The sequence below is a fragment of the Homo sapiens genome, chromosome 1, assembly GCF_000001405.40.
Source record: "Homo sapiens chromosome 1, GRCh38.p14 Primary Assembly".
In the NCBI taxonomy this organism is placed as follows: Eukaryota; Metazoa; Chordata; class Mammalia; order Primates; family Hominidae; genus Homo; species Homo sapiens.
The window spans coordinates 228,213,733-228,232,068 of record NC_000001.11 but is presented as its reverse complement, the minus strand read 5'-3'; the positions used below and the strand labels follow the sequence as shown (position 1 = coordinate 228,232,068).

General features: G+C 51.4%; 1 protein-coding gene across 4 annotated transcripts in view, besides 1 other annotated feature; it reads right to left on the bottom strand.

The window, feature by feature from the left end:
• OBSCN (obscurin, cytoskeletal calmodulin and titin-interacting RhoGEF) overlaps positions 1–18,336 on the bottom strand; it is a 170,833-nt gene that overhangs the window by 146,808 nt on the left and 5,689 nt on the right. For 2 of the 4 annotated variants that reach the window (NM_001386125.1, NM_001271223.3), the window contains exons 4-10: positions 17,635–17,895; positions 16,971–17,279; positions 16,240–16,506; positions 15,367–15,648; positions 14,781–15,056; positions 12,470–12,745; positions 7,335–7,610 (exon numbers count right to left, since the gene is read on the bottom strand). In NM_001386125.1, the coding sequence (NP_001373054.1) occupies positions 7,335–7,610; positions 12,470–12,745; positions 14,781–15,056; positions 15,367–15,648; positions 16,240–16,506; positions 16,971–17,279; positions 17,635–17,895 (1,947 nt within the window). The remainder of the gene's footprint in view (positions 1–7,334; positions 7,611–12,469; positions 12,746–14,780; positions 15,057–15,366; positions 15,649–16,239; positions 16,507–16,970; positions 17,280–17,634; positions 17,896–18,336) is intronic. The other 2 variants (NM_052843.4, NM_001098623.2) reach the window with 1 other exon arrangement.
• Positions 18,278–18,327: a silencer, noted in NCBI's record as "silent region_1916". NCBI's record gives its function as "represses an Ori minimal core promoter by ATAC-STARR-seq in GM12878 lymphoblastoid cells {active_cell/tissue: GM12878}" and the evidence as "EXISTENCE:reporter gene assay evidence [ECO:0000049][PMID:35858748]".

Sequence of the window (18,336 nt, the reverse complement as noted above, 5' to 3'; positions counted from 1 at the left end):
TGTAAAGTAATAACCCAATGACTATGGGGTGTTCTGGCGAAAAATTTCTGATGAAAAATTTTGAAATTAGACAGAGGTGGTGGTTGCACAACATTGAGAATGCATTAAATGCCACTGAAGTATACACTTCAAAATGGTTAACTGTATGTTATATGAATTTCAGCTCAATTATAAAACTAATTCTTAATTAAAAAGTCATTATTCACCTATCTATAAGACATACACTTTAGAGCCAAAGACGCAAACAGGTGGAAGGCTCGAAGATGCTTCATAAACCATAGCAGCCAAAAGAGCAGGAATGGCTCCCAAACACCAGGCAAGGCAGACCTGAAACCAAACCGCCAGAGGAAACAAACAACACTACACACTGTGAAAGGGCCAATCTCTCAGTAAGATATCACAGTTATAAACATATACTAACCTAAAGCAGAGGGCAATATATGAGAAGCAAAAATCAACAGAATTAAAGAAAGAAAAAATGTCTACAATATTAGAGACTTCAATACCCCACTTTCAATAATAGAATGACTAGAAAAAAGATCTGTTAAAACCAAGAGGACTTGAACAATGCTATAAATCAACTAGACCTAACTGATTTATACAGTCAGCCCTCCAAATTCACAGGTTACACGTGTGCAGATTCAGCCAACCGAGGATCAAAAATATTCTGGAAAAAAAATGATGACACAACAATAAAAGTAATATAAATTTTTAGAAATACAGTATAACAAGCATTTATATAGCATTTACATTGTATTAGGTACTATGAGTAATCTAGAGATGATTTAAAATATAAGGAAGGATATGTGTAGGTTATATGCAAATACTACATCATTCTATATAAAGAACTTGATGATCCATGGATTTTGGTATCTACAGGAGTCCTGGAACCTATCCCCCACAGGGAGAACACTCTATAGAATATTCCAGTCAACATGAGACTGTATAGAATATTCCAATCAACAGGAGAAGAATACACATTTTCCTCAAGTGTGTATGGAACACTGTCCAGGATAGGCCATCTATTAGGCCACAAAATAAGTGTCAATACATTTTTAAAAGTTGAATTCAGGCAAAGTATCTTCTCTGACCATAATGGAATAAAGCTAGAAAACAGAAAGAAAACTGGAAAATACACAAATATGTGGAAATAAAGCAACACACTTTTAAAAAAGAAATTAAAAGAAAAATTAGAAAATACTTTAAGATGAATGGAAATGAAAACACAACATACCAAACTATGGGATGCAGTGAAAGCACTGCTCAGGGGACATGCACAGCCGTAAATGCCTACACTTTAAAAGGAAGAAACGTCATTGGGAAGTAAAACTGTCTCTATTCAGAGATAGCACGATCTTGTGTACAGAAAATCCTCAGGAATCCACAAAAGAAATATTAGAGCTAATCAACAAGTTCAACAAGGTTGCAGGATAAAAGACCAATATACAAAAGTCAATTCTCTTTCTGTACCTTAGCAATGGCACTCCAAAACTGAAATTATGAAAACAGTTCCATGGACAGTAGCATCCAAAGTATTAACTACTTAGCAATAAATTTACAAAGGAACTGCAAACTTTATATGTTGACAATTAGAAAACACCATTGAAAGAAATCTTAAAAGACCCAGATAAATAGAAATGTATCCCATACTCATGGATTAGAAGAAACAGCAATACTCTCCAAATCGATCTACACATTCAATGCAAACCCTATCAAAATCCCACCTACCTTTTTTCCAAAATTTGAAAAGCTGATTCTAAAATTCATATGGAAATGCAGTAGACCTTGAATAGCCAAAACAATCTTGAAAACACACAAAGTTGGAAAACTCACACTTTCTAATTTCAAAACTTACTACAAAGATATGGTAATTAAGACTGTGGTATTAACATAAGGATAAACTTAGAAATCAATGGAACAGAATTGAGAATCCAGAAATAAACCCTTTACATTTATGGTCAAGGGTGCCAAGAAAATTCAATGGAGAAAAATGTCTTCAACAAATGATGCTAGGACAGCTGCATTTCCACATGCAAATGATGAAGTTGGACCACTATTTCACATCATATTCAAAAATTAACTTAAAATGGATCAAAGCCCTAAATGTAACAGCTAAAATTACTAAAATCTTAGAAGAAAACAGAGGTGTATATCTCGTGACCTTGGATTGGGCAATGATTTCTTAGAAATGACACCTAACACACAAGCAACAAAAGAGGATAAATTAAGCTTTATTTAAAAAAAAATTTTTTTTTAGACAGGGTCTCACTCTGTTGCCCAGGCTGGAGTAAAGTGGTGCAATCACAGCTCACTGCAGCTTCAGTCTCCTGGGCTCAAGCAATCCTCCCACCTCAGCCTCCCAAGTAGGTGGGATTACAGGCACACATCACTATGTCCAGCCTAAACTTTATCAAAATTAAAACCTTCATGCAGCAAAAGACATAATCAAAAAAAAAGAAAGAAAATATTTGCAAATCATTTATCTAAAAAAAAGGTCTAGCATCATGGCTAGACATGGTAGCTCACGCCTATAATCCCAGCACTTTGGGAGGCTGAGGTGGATGGATCACTTGAGGTGAGGAGTTCAAGACCAGCATGGTGAAACCCCATCTCTACTAAAAATACAAAAATTAGCTGGGTGTGGTGGTGCACACCTGTAGTCCCAGCTCCTCAGGAGGCTGAGATGGGAGGATTGCTTGATCCCAGGAGTTCAATGCTACAGTGAACCATGATCACACCGTTGCATTCCAGCCTGGGCAATAGAGTGAGACCCTGTCTCTAAAAAAAGAATAAATAAAATATAAATAAATAAAAACAAGAAGAGTTGGTGAGGATGTAGAGAAACTGGAACCTTCATACATTGCTGATTGAAGAATGTAAAATGGTGCAGCCACTCTAGAAAACAGTCTGACAGTTCCTCACTAAGGTAAATAATATTATCGTATGACCTGGCAACCCTACTCTTTAGGTATCTACTCAAGAGAACTGACAACATACATTCACACAAAGCCTGCATACAAACGTTTATAGCAGCATTATGTATAGTTGCCAGAGTGGCAACAGTTCAAATGCCTGTCCACTGATGCATAGATAAACAAAATGTGATCTGTTCATACAATGGAATGTGACTCAGCTATGAAAAGGAAGTACTGATACATGTTACAACATCATGAGCCTTGAAAACATCATGCCCAGTAAAAAAAAGACAGACATAAAAGGCCACATATTATATGATTCTGTTTAAATGAAATGTCCGGAACAGGCAAATCCAGGGAGACAAAAAGCACATTAGTGGTTGCTAAGTGCTGAGGAGAAGGGGAATGGGGAGTGACTATGAAGGGGCATAGAGTTTCTTTTAGGGTTGATGAAAATGTTCTGGAATTAGACTGTGGTGTGGTTACGCAACCTAAAAACCACCAAATCGTACACTGTAAAAGGGTGAATTTTATGTTACTTGAATTACGTACTCTAAAAAATCAGTCAGGTCCGGTACAGTGGTTCATTCCTGTAATCTCAGCACTTTGGGAAGCTGAGGTGGGAGGATTGCTTGAGCCCAGAAGTTTGAGATCAGCCTGGGCAACATAGCAAGACCCCATCTCTACAAACAAAAAATTGAGAAAATTAGCCAGGTATGGTGGCACGTGCCTGTAGTTCCAGCTACTCAGGAGGCTGAGGCGGGAGGACTGCTTGAGCCCAGGCGGTCGAGGCTGCAGTGAGTCATGGTCACACCACTGCACTCCAGTCTGGGTGACAGAGCAGGACCCTGTCTCAAAAACCAAACAAATGAAAAGGTGCCAGCAGGTTCAGCTGCCTGGTGAGGGCTGCTCTCTGCTTCCAAGACAGCACATTATTGCTGTGTCTCACATGCGAGACAGGATGGAAGTGGTGAACTTGCCCTTTTATAATCTAGGGGTACTCATCCATTCGCGAGGGTGGAGCCTTCGACGCCTAATCACCTCCCAAAGGCCCCCTCTTAATACTGTTGCTCAGGGGACTAAGTTTCAACATAAACTGTGGAGGGGACACAACATTCCACGAACAGCAGATAGGCGTGATACAATATGTTAAGAAGTCAATTTAACAAAAGCACTTACACAGAGAACACGCTAGCCTGCCAGTCCTGCCTTTGGGGTAAAACCCTGAGAGCATCACAAAACCTAGCTCCCACATTCTCACTGCTATGGTTGGAATGTCTGTGGCCCCCAAAATTCCCACGTTGAAATCCTTATCCCCAAGGTCATGGTGTTAGGAGGAGGAGCCTTTAGGAATCACTTGGGTCATGAATGAGATCAATGCCCTTATAAAAGAGACCTCAAAAGCTCCCTCACCCCTTCCACTGTGAAGACTCAGTTAGAAGGCACCGTCTATGAAACAGGAAGCGGCCTCACCAGACACGGAATCTGCTGGCACCTTGCTCTTGGACTTCTGACCTCCAGAGCTGCAAGCAGCACACTTCACACTTCCGTGGTTCCTGAGCCACCCAGGCTATGGTGTTCTGCTCTAGCAGCCCTCATGGACCCAGGCACTTGCTGAACGTCAGCATTCCTCTGTGTGGCCACACAGGACCCCTGGCCCACGCTGCAGACATTGTCTGCTTCTCTCCCTGGAGCACAAATGTGACAGAGCCCGCAGATGTGCAAGCCTGGGCCCCCTAGTGTCTGAGTCGTGTGTCACCCTAGGGATAAAAACAGCAGCAGGAAGATGGGATAAAGCAATTAGTGCACCCCTGCCAAGCACCATCTCATGTTAATCCCCTCTCCTGCCCTAAGAGCTGGGTGCACTTTGGGATCCGCATTTTACAGACAGGGAAACAGGCTGGATGAGCCACTGCCACTGACACCTTTCCAGACACCCTGGTGCCCACTCTGCTGGCAGCTAGTGCCTCTGAGCTCCTGCAGCCTGGCACACCTCTGTCCCCTCCCACCCTGCACCACGGCCCTCTGGGGTGAAGGCTAGCCAGTGTCTACACCACCAAGCTGGCCCTGCCCTCCTTCCTTGACCTATTTATCCCCCAAAACCCAATCCCAGCAGCTATAATTCACAGTGCCCTACACAAGCACAGTCCCCAGATGCCACAATCATGAATCCCATGTTACAGATGAGGAAACTGAGGCACAGAGAGGCCAACTGTCTGAGTTTCTGGGGGCTGCCGTAAGAGCTCACCATAAGCTAAGTGGCTCAGAATGACAGAAAATCATCCTCTTACAGTTCTGGAGGCCAGAAATCTGAGATCAAGGTGTAGCAGGGCTGTGCTCCCTCAGGAGGCTCTAGGGGAGGACCCACCCTGCCTCTCCCAGCTCCTGGGGGCTCCCGGAGTCTCTGGGCTTGTGGCCGCATCACTCCAGAGTCAGCCTCCATCTCCCATGGTTGCCTCCTCTGTGTGTGTCTCCCGGTCTGCCTAAGGACAGTGTCACTGGATTCAGGGCCCACCCTAGTCCATGACCTCATCACAAGGTGCTTTACTTAATTACATCTGCAAAGACCCTGTTTCCAAATGAGGCCCCATTCTGAGGTTCTAGGTGGATGTGAATTTGGGGATGATACAACATCAACAACTCACCCAAGGTCACTCAGCAGACAGACAGGAATGAGACACACGTGGCAGTATGACCCCACACATGCACCGATCCTACCGCCAGCCTGCCTCAGAAAGGGGTGGAAACCCAGGCTGTGGGGTATGGGCTGTGGGGCCAGTCCCAGGCCAGCTTCTCCCATCCCAGGTCCACCTCCTCCTCCTCTACGTCCCCCTGCCAAGGCTATAAGGCCATAGGCACATTCTCCAGGCTACCTGGAGCTGAGCAAGGTCTTGCAAGACCCCCACCAAGTCAGGGAGGCATGGGGGTTGGTGTACTCCCAACTTCAAGAAAAGTTTTTGTTTTCCAAACAGAAGAGACAGCCAGAAACATCCATAATGAGGGAGGCAGAATTCTAAGAATGCCCAAACACTAAATCTAGGTGCTGCTGTGAAGGAAGCCTGCAGATGGAATGAGGTCTCATATCAGTTGACTTTAAGTTCCTCGAAAGGATGATGACCTTGAGTGGGCTGGACCTAATCAGGTGAGGCCATAAATGGGAGGGGTCTCTTCCCTGGCAAAAGAGATTTGAAGTCTGAGAGTGACTTGACACAAGGGAGATTACCCATTACTGGCCTGACGATGAAGGCCACATGGCAAAGAATGAGGTGGCCTCTAGGATCTGACAGCAGCTCCCTGGCTGACAGCCAGCCAAGAAATAGGGCCTTGGACCCATGGGCTCACAGACCCACAATTGCAAGGAACTGAATTCTGCCAACAAATTGGGTAAGCTGGAAATAGGAACCAAGAGAACTAATCAGCAGGCACCTGACTTCAGCTTCTGAGACCCTGAACAGAGAACCCAGGCACGCCACGCCTGCACTTCTGACTTACAGAACTGTGAGCTACTCAGTGAGCATTGTTTCAAGCCACTAAGTTGGTGATAATTTGTTACAAAGCAGTTAAAAAAATAAGCAGAAAACAAAAAAACTAATACACACCCTTTCCACATCTTCCCATCTTGAACATGATGGCTGGAGCTATGGAAGCCACCTTGTGACCATGAGGCAAGCATTTGAAAGAAAAAGGTAACATGTTCAGGATGGCAGAGAATTAAACAGATCCCATGTCCTTATGATAGACTGTTAAAAAGGTTGTGATGAGTCAAGACACCCTGGGTGCACAATGTTCTACAACAGGACATGCCACTCCCCCACTGACAGTAGGGTCTACTTCTCTACACCCTAGTTCCTGCAGACTAAGCTGGCCTTATGCTTAGCTTTGAGCAACAGGACATGGGGGAAAGTAACACTCTGGGAGTCCTGAGAACCCAGCTTAACAAGCCTCATAGTTTCTACCATTCCCTAGGAAAAGAATCCAGTCACCATGGAAAGAAGTCCAAAAAGAGAGCAACCATGGAGGAATGAGGTTGCAGGCATGGAAATGAAGCCAGCTGACAGCACAAGAAGAGACAGGTCCATTGTCCTGGCCATCCCCCATCCACTGGAGCCATCCCAGCTTGGACCTCAGTCAGGTGCACCAATGAGGCCAGTCAGATCCCCCAGCCCCAGCCAACACCACATGAAATACAGATGAGCCACCCCTGCTGAGCCCTGACCAAATTCTCAACCTGCAGAATGGTGACAGGTAAACTGATCATTCTTTCAGGCCTCTAAGTTTGGAGTGATCTGTTACACAGCAGCAGATAATTAACTGAAACAGGCCCTCAGGAGGCCGCCAAGCACTGTCCCAGCCTACGCTGAAACACTGCCCCCAGACCTGCTCCCATGAGATGCTCAAATGTCTGCTCTATCAACTGACCTTTGACATCCAGATGGAAGGAGAGCCGCTGGCCCCCAGCCTCGCAGCTATACTCCCCGGCATCCGCCTGGCCTGCCTGCTGCACAACCAGCCTGCGCGTGCAGCCTGTGGCCTCCATGCACACTTTCGAGCTGGAGCTCAGCTTCTTCCCATCCTTGTACCACGTCACCTCCGTCTGGGCCTGGGCCACCTCGCAGCTCAGTGTGGCACTGGCTCCTGCCTCTGCCTGCAGCTTCCTGCGTGCCAGCTGCTCCTTAGCAAACACCACCTTGGGCTCTGGGGATGGACAGGGAAGGATGCACAGTCAGAGACTCCAGAGCACAGAAACTAAAGTTTCAGATGCAGAGGCTGCTCAGGCTGGAGCCCACTGATGACGGGCTGTCTGTGGCCCATGAACAGTGGCCTCACCAACCGCCAGCCGGACATGGGTTTGAGCAAAAGAGAATGCATATTGGAAGCTTCAAGCATCAGCATGGGGAAGAACTTCCCAAGGCCCATCAGCAACATGCAGCAGATACTCTGGAGTCCAAACATTCCACAACACCTTAGAGAAAAGCACCACCCTGGCAGAGTGCCCCTTTGAAAGGAAAAGCTGCTGATACTGTGTGAAATGCCCACATCACGCCCTCAGCACTTACGAAAACTCTGCCTGAGAACCCAGAAAGCCTGGAGAAATAGCAAACACAAACACCCTCTTGGGTTCACGCTGAAAATCACAGGAGATGTGGGAACCTCTCTCCCACAAAACCATGACCCAAACAGACCATCCCCCGGCCACTTCTCCCCTGGTTTGCACTAAAGCCAGAGTTGCCCTATACCTGTCTGGGGTTTCCCTCAACACAAAGAGGAAACTCATACATCGAAAAATTGCTTATGAGGCCGGGCACAGTGGCTCACGCCTGTAATCCTGGCACTTTGGGAGGGCAAGCTAGGTGGATTGCTTGAGCCCAGGAGTTCAAGACCAGCCAAGACAACATTGTGAGACCCTGTCTCTACAAAAAATTAAAAAATTTGCTAAGCATGGTGGTATGCGAGTACCCAGCTCCTCAGGAGGCTGAGGCGGGAGGATTGCTTGAGCCTGAGAGGTCAAAGTTGCAGTAAGCCATGACTGCACCACTGCACTCCAGCCTGGGCAACAGAACAAATTCCTGTCTCTAAAAACAAAAATCTCTTATGCTACCTCTTAACTAGGATAACATGTACGCACAGTGATATGCACAAACATGTATGCACAGTGATATGCACAGATCTGGTGCACAATTCTATGAGTTCTGACAGCTATCTGCACCTGTGTAACCCACACCCCACACCCACACAGCTCCCAGCTGCCTCCCCCACAAAAGCGACCACCATTCTCATTCCTAACCGTAGAACCTGTCTTCGAACTCTGAATAAATGAAATCAGAACAGTTTTCTCTTTAGGTGCTATCTGTGCCCATTAACTAGCTACAAATACACATGCAGACAAAATAGTATTAAAAACTAGAATACCACAATAAAAAATAAGCTAAAACACACCAAAACACACCATGCCCTACCCCTCCACCTGTCCCCACACCCTACTTGGCTCTGCAGAAACTCCAGTTTAAAGTCCCTTCATTTTTCCCCTGGGTTCTGCCTTCCTATTTCTAAACAATATGTACATGCTATTGATCAGTGGGTAAGAAAGAATACGCAGAAAATAAAGAAAAAACCAATACAATGAACACCCACACACTCCCCACCTGCTAAAGAAAGAAGAACGCCATCACCACTAGTTCCCAGCCCCTCAGAGGTAACCCCAGCCTGAATCCTGGTTTTGGAATCTCCTTTTATTATCTCAGTACGTGTGTTTATTGAGGGTGAATGTGCAAGTCAGGCTGCTCTGCTCAACCGTTTACCCACTGTGTGACCTTGGACAAAGTGACTTCACCTCTGTGCGTCGACTTCCTGCTGTCTGAAATAGAATGACCAAGGATTCACACAGGTGAGGTGTGTGGCACGCTAAGAAGAGCATCTCCGGAGATTCCAGGCAGGAGACAAACCACAGCTGCCATGTGTTGCTGCCACTGCGTGTTGTTAACCACTAAACACATAACGTCATTCTGTGCTTTGTAACCTGCTTTTCCAGCACAATGCTGCATGCGTCAATCGCCCTTCTTCAGCTGCAATGCAGAGCCCTGTGCTCCTGCTCGTTTTGACTGCTCTATGGTACTGCAAGGCACACGCAGACCCCAACTTCACCCAGTCATTCTTTTGTGTTTTATTATTATTATTATTCTACTTTTTCATGTTTTGTAAAGGCGGGGTCTCACTATGTTGCCCAGGCTAGTCTTGAAATTTCTGGCTCAAGTGATCCTCCCTTCTTGGCCCACCAAAATGTTGGGACTACAAGTGAGCCACTGCACCCATCCTACAGTTCCCTCTTATTTTTTGGTCCCTGGGCAATCCCTTTTTTCAAAGTTCTTTATACATTTGATGTCCCATTTCAAGTCATTTTGTAGAGGGTAGGTTTCTGAACATTTCAATGACGTTCTAGAAAAGACATAACTGTGCCAGGCGCGGTGGCTCACGCCTGTAATCCTAGCACTTTGGGAGGCCAAGGCAGGCAGATCATGAGGTCAGGAGATCAAGACCAACCTGGCTAACATGGTGAAACCCTGTCTCTACTAAAAATACAAAAAATTAGCCAGGCGTGGTGGCGGGCGCCTGTAGTCCCAGTTACTCGGGAGGCTGAGGCAGAAGAATGGCATGAACCAGAGAGGTAGAGCTTGCAGTGAGCTGGGATTGCGCCACTGCACTCCAGCCTGGAAGACAGAGTGAGACTCCATCTCAAAAAAAAAGAAAAGAAAGAAAAGAAAGAAAGAAAAGGCACAACTGACCTATGGGGAGAGAATCAGGGCAGCAGCTGCCTGGGGCAGGGTGGAGGGTGGACTGCATGAGGGAATTTTCTAGAGGGATGGAGATGCTCAGTACCTTGATGCAGACATGGTGGTGCATGGTATCCACATTTTCCAAAATCCCTCAAATGATACACTTAAAATCTGTGCATCAATTACATCTCAAATGTCATTATTAAAAAATTGTTGGGCCAGGCGCAGTGGCTCATGCCTGTAATCCCAGCACATTGGGAGGCCGAGGTGGACAGATCATTTGAGGTCAAGAGTTCGAGACCAACCTAGCAAACACGGCAAAACCCTTGTCTCTACTAAAAATAAAAAAATTAGCTGGGCGTAGTGGCATGTGCCTGTAATCCCAGCTACTCGGGAGGCTGAGGCAGGAGAGTCGCTTGAACCCAGGAGGCGGAGGGTGCAGTGAGCTGAGACTGTGCCACTGCATTCCAGCCTGGGCGACAGAGCAAGACTCCACCTCAAAAAGAAAAAAAAGTTGTTGGTCAGGTGCAGTGGCTCACACCTGTAATCCCAGCATTTTGGGAGGCCGAGGCAGGCGGACTGCTTGAGGCCAGGAGTTCAAGACCAGCCTGGGCAACACAGCAAGACCCCATCTCTACAAAAAAATTCTTAAAAAATAACCACGTGTGGTGGCACATGCCTGTGGTTCCGGCAACTCAGGAGGCCAAGTCGGGAGGATCACTTGAACCCAAAAGGTTGAGGCTGCAGTGAGCCAAGATCACACCACTGCACTCCAGCCTAGGTGACACAATGAGACTCCGTCTCAAAACAAAACAAAATAAAAAAACTGTTGGCACCAGAGCTTCCTTAATTTCATGATAACAAAGACAACTTCATATGTGCGATCAAATATTACACTGGAAATTTTAACTCAGGCACCAAGACAATGTAGATATGATACTCCAACATAGGAAGCCGGGAGGAGAGACAAATCTTGAAAGAAGTTAGCAAAAAGCAAAACCAACAAAAAATTACCAAAAAACAAGAAACCAGTTTTGCTGATTTGACCCTCTCCCTGCATACAGGGTAGCAGCCACAGTAGCATGGCAGCTACAGAGCAGGGTCTTGGGAAAGACCTCGCTGGATAGGGACATGCTGCATCCCTGCGTCCCATGCCCCACCCATGGAGCACCGAGAGGAGAGGGCTGCTCCCCCTACAACCAAGACCAGCACCTCCAGGGGACACACGGAGCACCTGTAGGCACCAAGGCACCACAGCGGCCAGAGCTGCTCACATGCTCCTGAGAGCCACCACCGTCCTTCCCAACCCCAAACTCAGCAAAGCCACGTGTGTAGCTTGAGATGGGCAGGGATGGGTTCATTTACCCCATGGGGAGTGGTGCCAAAGCTGTCCCAGAGCTGGTGGCCAACCACAGGGGCATTCTGCCTCCCACCAAAAAGCCTAAACACTAAGGTGGGAGCGGCCAGAGGCCTCCCCGCATCACGCAGGTGACAGATGCACAGGGCTTCCTCGGCCAGGATCGGGCTGAGCCGAGGCAGCAGTAGGGGTCTGCAGGAGCGACAGGACTGCCCAGAAGTCCCAGCGTCCTCTGCAGGAAGAAGATGAAGATGTCCGGTGTTTTAGGAAGCAGAGGAAGAGAACGAGGTGGCCCGGAGGAAAGCATGACCTCGGCAGGGCACAGGCATGTGGACCCTCAGGGGCAGGTGATGGGGCTGCCGACGAACCCACCTGGGGGGCTCACTCTAAAGCCCTGGCGGGGCCCACACAAGGTCATCTTCACGCAACTCCAGTCAAGCATGAGCTTCCGGCACCTTCCTGGTTCTTTCTACTCTAGAGGCAGAAGCTACAGGCAGTAGCGCGGCCAGGAGGGGAAGACAAGGAACGCCGTCCCCACACACTGAGTCTGGGAGCAGAGGGGACACACTAAGGGTCCCCAAGGGAGAGGAGACTCCATGGTCAGCTGAGACTGCAGTGCCCTAAACAGAAGGCACAACTGCAGCTCCCTCAGAACAAAGACAAAAGCCACAGGTCTGTGCAAGGTCTCAACCAGGAGCAGAAAACAGGCTTCTGAATAAACACACAAGGGATCCTGGCTAGTGCAGCACAGTGCTCTGTGGGTGTGCACAAGAATGCTGGATTTTCTAACAGAACCACTGCGGGCAGCACAGCCATCCCTTACAGGCCAGGAACAGGTGACGCAGAGAGGGGCAGAGGTGCTGAGTACCAGTGCAGCACATGCTCCACCGCCTGGACAGGTGCTGACCATGCCACTAGGGACCCACCTGCAACGTCCAGGCGGAAGGAGACCCTCTGTCCCCTGGCCTCACAGCTGTACTCTCCGGAGTCTGCCTGGCCCACCTGCTGCACCACCAGCCTCCGCATACAGCCCACAGCCTCCACGTGCACTTTCGAGCTGGAGCTCAACTTCTTCCCGTCCTTGTACCACGTCACCTCCATCTGGTCCTGGGCCACCTCACAGCTCAGCGTGGCGCTGGCCCCCACCTCAGCCTGCACCTCCCTGCACGCCGGCTGCTCCTTGGCAAACACCGCCTTGGGCTCTGGGATGCATAAGGGGGGAGGTGGGGTCAGAGGCCCTTCCAAGTGAGGTTTGCAGGGCCTGGTTCAGGTTATCAGATTCTGTACCCCAGGCACGAACAGTCCTGCCATGGGCTCCTCCATGGTCCGTGTGCTCAGGCGTAGCTCTTCCCATGCACAGGCAGCTGTGATGCCCAACCCCTGCCCAGTGAGGGCCCTGGCATGTGCCAGGAGGGCAGGGCGTGTGCCTACGAGAAGCTATCAATAGGGCCTGGTGGCCTGAGTGTCCTTCGCAGACCCAGCATGCTGTCTCTCTCTCCCCTAAACTTCTGCCTGTCCTGGAAGTCCACCGCCTATGGACACGGGCCATCATGTGGACCAAGACAGAGAGAGGGTTCAGCTTCACAGACACTCCCCTGATTATTCAAACAACAGAGAGCAGGCACAGGGTGTGTTCTACATTGTGGATGAATTGGCCATTGGACTGTGAAAGTTAGGAGGGCTGGGCTGGCATGATTTTTAAACTTTTATATGTTAAACGCCCACATATTTCCCCCTGGAAGCCAGCCGGATAGTTTTCCAGAGCCTGGCCTTGGGGCCTTCCCTGTTGTGGGGTCTGTGAGCGGAATCCGGCCCACAGAGGCCCGGCAGCCATGCTCCTTGAGAAGCCCTCTGTGCTCCTCCTTCAGCCTCCCAGCCAACATCTCTGAGCCCAGGAGGCTTCCAGAAAGAGCCAGGGCTCAGAGCCCCCTACATTCAAATCTTAACCTGTCAGAGACACTCCAGTCTGTGGCTCTGCTCAACCTCAGTCCCCTCATCCTAAAAACGAAGAGAAGGGCTTTAGAAACATTTCTGGCCCAAGCACTTTGGGAGGCTGAGCTGGGAGGATTGCTTGAGACAAGCCTGGGCAACATAGCAGGACCTCATCTCTACAAAAAATACAAAAATTAGCTGGGCTTGATAGTGCGCGCCTATGGTCCCAGCTACTTGGGAGACTGAGGTGGGAGGATTGCTTGAGTCTGCGAAGTTGAGGCTTCAGTGAGCCGAGATGGTGCCACTGTACCCCAGCCTAGGCGGACCCTGTCTCAAAAGAAATAAAATAATAAAATAAATAAAATACAAAATAAAATAAAAACACATTTTAAATGAAGTGCCAGCCCTAACCCTGGCCCACAAACACACAATACACAAAAGCGTCTGCAGAGCTGTGAGTGAGCCCTGGCGGCGAGGACGAGACACAGCAGGAGACAGAGGCCCATGTACAGATGGAAAAGATTATCCTAAAGCCTAAGAAAACCAGGTCCACGTCCACTTTCCACAATTTCCTTCATGTTATCTTTTCTTATTTTCTACATTTAGATTCTTTACCCACGTAAACGTTAGTTTTTCCCAAACAGAGAAGTTAGTTAGTTAGTCTAACTCTGTTTTTCCCAAACAGAGAAGAAGTTAGTCAGTCATTTCTTTTCCCAAACAGAGAAGCAAATGTTCTCTGGGACGAGGCAGCAAACATAAGAAGCTGTGTTTGCTCATCCTGGTCTGCCAGCAGAATTCACCAATCCTGGCCCGGTGAATGAGTGCAGCCCTGGGGGACACAGTGCAGGTTCCCATGTCTCTAGCCTGAAGTACGGCAATTTTAGGAAAGGTAAGTTCAATGGTGCTGGCCCCTTCTTCTCCCTGCACATGAGATAACGTCTGGCAGTATTCATGACTGTGCCTCTGTCATCTGTAACAAGGTGCACCCAGGCTGTGAGGAGCTCTGGCTCTAAAGGTACCTTCTGAGCAGCTGCAGAGCCTTCCCCACCTATGTATGAGCTGCAGACTGAAACTCTGCTTTGGAGCAGCTTAACAGAAAGTCTGAAAGACTCCTGGGCCGCAATCCTCGAGCCTTCTGAATAAAACTAATTCTTTTAAAACCTTGATTTTTTTTTTCAGTTGACACTGTCAACCATTTGCTGGAGAAAAGAAGGGTCAGGAAGGTCAATCCTGCTCTGCTGGAGGCAGCCGGACCTGCTCCCCACCCCACATGGGCCTGGACGCATGCACACACAGCGTGCTCACCAGAGACGCGGAGCCGGAAGTCCACAGAGTCCTCGCCCACGCGGCAGGAGTAGGTGCCTTCATCCTGCCTGGTGACTGTGGCTGCCACCAGCCGGTGCCGCGTCCCCACATCCTCCTGCAAGAAGCGCTCACCGGAGTGGCCCAGCTCCATGCCATCCTTGTACCAGTGCACGTGGACGTGGGCTTCGGAGGTCTCACACTCAAACTGCGCCGGGCCCCCAGCCACGGCATCCACACAGCTGCCCGCCATGTCCTTGTGCAGAAAGCGCGCGAGGCCTGCAGGACACAGGCTGGGTCAGGCACTGCAGAGGCCCTGAGCACAAACTTGGCCACAGTGCTCACAAGCTGGAGCTGGTCCGGCTTCTGGGACCACACAGGACACCCAGGCTCACCAGGCTAGAGGGACCCTGCTTGGGCAAGCAGCCAGTGCGGCCTACTGACTCTAACCTTGGGACTTGTGCCCACCAGAGCAACCACCCAGTTATGGAGTCCCTCCCCCTACCAAGCTGGGCTCGCCTCCACTGCCCTGTCCCTCACCCTCCCCACAAAGTCAGAGAACCCCGCAGAGGCTGCCAGCTGCTCCCACCTTGCACGGAGAGCTGGTAGGCGATGCGGCCCCCGCGGCTGACGCACTCGTAGAGGCCTGCATCGTCCCGGGCCACATCTCGCACAAGGAGCACCCGCCGCCCGGCCGATGCCTGCACCTCATACTTGGGGCCTGGGGACAGTGTGCGACCATCCTTCAGCCACGTCACAGCCGCAGCCTGATCTGACAGCTCAGCCAGCAGCTGCGCCTCCTCGTGCAGCCGAGCCAGCACCTCCCGGGCAGCTGCGGCTGGCGGCTTGTTGGCAGTCAGCCCTGGGGCCGCTGGGGGCCAGGTATGCGTGGCCAGAGGGGAATGGACGGAGGGGCACAGAAAGGTGAACAGAGGGGAATGGACGGAAGGGGAGACAAGGAGAGACAGACACGGGGCAGAGAAAGATAAAGGGAGGGACCCAGGAGAACAGCACAGGAGGACAGCGAGGGAGAGGCAGGCAGGGGAGACAATGGCAGAACAGAGGTCACAGATACACCAGAGAAGCAGGGGAGACAGAGGTGGAACAGCCAGGCATGGGATGGCAGAGACAGAAAAAAGCAGGAAAGAAACGGAAGGGAAAAGATTAACAAGATAGAGGAGGCAGGAGGGGGAAAGGAGGAAAGTGGGGAGACAGACATGAGGCTCTGCCCAGCAGGACCCCTGCAGCCCCAGGCCCTCACCCAGACACCAGGGACCAGTGCCACCAGCCAGCCTGGGTGAGTCCTCACACGCCCACCACCCTGCCTGCTTCATCCCAGTGACCTGCAGGCTGACAGGGTGTCCTGGGGCCCTCAGACCTGTAGCAGCCCTACCTGGAGCCCTGACACCGCCCACCCTGGAGAAATGAGGCTCAGGGTCCCAAGCTGGGGCCCTCCACCTACCCCGGACCTCCATCCGGATGCTGCTCTCAATGCCGTTGGCCACGAACTTCAGCTGCGCCCCGTGCAGGCTGGCGGGCACCTCCCGGATGGTGAGCGTGTGCCGGGTGCGATCACAGTGGATCTCATACACACTGCTGGCCTTCAGGGCCTGCCCATCCAGGAACCACTCACCCGCTGAGGCCACCGTGAGGTCCACGGAGAAAGTGACCTCGCCACCCTCTACCGCCTGCACCGCCTTCAGCGGTGTCCTCACGGCCAGCTTGGGGGCTGTGGGGCGGGCAGCGTCAGAAAGGGGCCGAGGAGGAGTGGGGAGTGCTGAGGAGGTCTCTGCCTTCCCCTTCTCTTCCTACAGAGCCTAGACCTAAATGTTCCTCCTCCAGGAAGCCCAGCCAACACACAGAGCGACCATAGCATGAGTCAGGCTCATGAAGGAACAAGGACAAGGTACAGCTGCCCTGAGACCCCTCCAGCATCCTACAAGCCCCACCAGAGTGGGGCAGCCCTGGAGCCCCGTCCCCTGGGTCTGCTGGAGACAGGCAGGCTCCCAGGGGCCCTGTAGTGGGGTCACCTATCCTTCCCACCACGGACACTGCACCAGGGCAAGGCCTTGGCAGCCCCCCTCCCCACAGAAGGTCCCCATGAGGCCACTCTGGCCTCCCCTGAAGCTGGACCTGGGGGATTCCGGGGCAGGTGAGCAGCCCCGTAGGTTGTAACAGGGAGGTCCCACTTACCCAGGTGGACAGTCCCCGGGAACTCGAGGTAGGGACTCTGACCAAAGCTGTTGAGAGCGGACACTCGGAACTGGAAGTTCCCCTCCTCCGCCACATCAGCCACGGTCAGCTCAGGTGTAGCCACCCATTCAGCCTCGTGGCACCTGATCCAGGTGTAGGTGCCAAGCTTCTTCTTCTCTACCAGGTAGCCGTCGATAGTGACAGGGCGTTCCCCATGGGGTGGTGGGGACCAGCTGAGAATCACGGAACTCTCCATCCTGGCCTTTACCACAGGATCCACAGGGGGTTGCAGGGGAGGCTTCCTGGGGGCTGTGTAGAGGGTGGGCAGAGGTCAACTACTGGGAGCCTCTTCCTGAGCCCTGGGTCTGGAATCACCTGGAGGGGTGTCACAGGATCCCCAGCTCTCTTGGGGCTGCTCTGGGGACCTGGACCACTGGCCACAACCTCCAGCCCCAGACCTGCAGCCACTTCTCTGGTTGCAGCTGAAAGACTGCGCGGGGGCTCAGGGAGCCTAACGTTGGAGGGCCAGGGCTATGGTCTTGCCCGGCGGCCCTCGGTACAGCAGGCTGAAGCCCAGAGAGCTGAGGTAATGGAGGGCAGGGGACTGGGACCAGGGAGACAGCAGGGAAGCGATGCCATCCTGGGAGCACCCTCAGGCCCTCACCCGACACGCAGAACTGGGTGGACGTCTGGCAGTCGCCAGCCATAAAGGCCACCTGGCCCACATCCTCCAGGCAGCACTGGGAGATGGTTAGTGTGTGGCGCGTGCCCTCCGCGGAGATGGCCACGCGGCCCCCCGCCACCACTTCCTCCTGGTTCCGCAGCCAGTGGACGGGGCCCACCGGGACCGCCAGCTCCACGCAAAACATAGCCGTGTCGCCCACGCGCACCGCCGTCTTCCGAGGGAGCTTTCGGAGGAGGTTTCCTGGGGTGGAGGGAGCCGGGCCAGTCAGACCAGCCCCTGCACGCCCCGCTCCAGACTCGCTCCTCCGCTTGCCCCCTGTCTCCCGGTTCCCAACTGCCTCCGATTCACTCCCCCGCGCAACCCCTTACCTGTCCCGCCGGCCCAAGTCCCAGCTCGGTCCCACAAGACCCCTGCCCACTCCGTCTCCCCTTCCCCCTAATCACCACCCCGTGCCCGGCCCGAGCTTGCTCCTCCGCCCCCACCTTACCTGCCCTTCCCGCCCCAGTCCCGCCCCTGCCTGCCCCAGTCCCAACTCGTACCTCGCAAGCCCAGTCCGTCTGCACCCTGCCCGCCCCCGTGCCCGCCCAGCCCGTGCGGCCTGGCTCCCCCCTCCCCCGCCCCCGGCTCCCTTCTCGGTGCCTCCTTGCCCCCGCTACCTCCCCGAAGCCGCCCTGTGCCCCG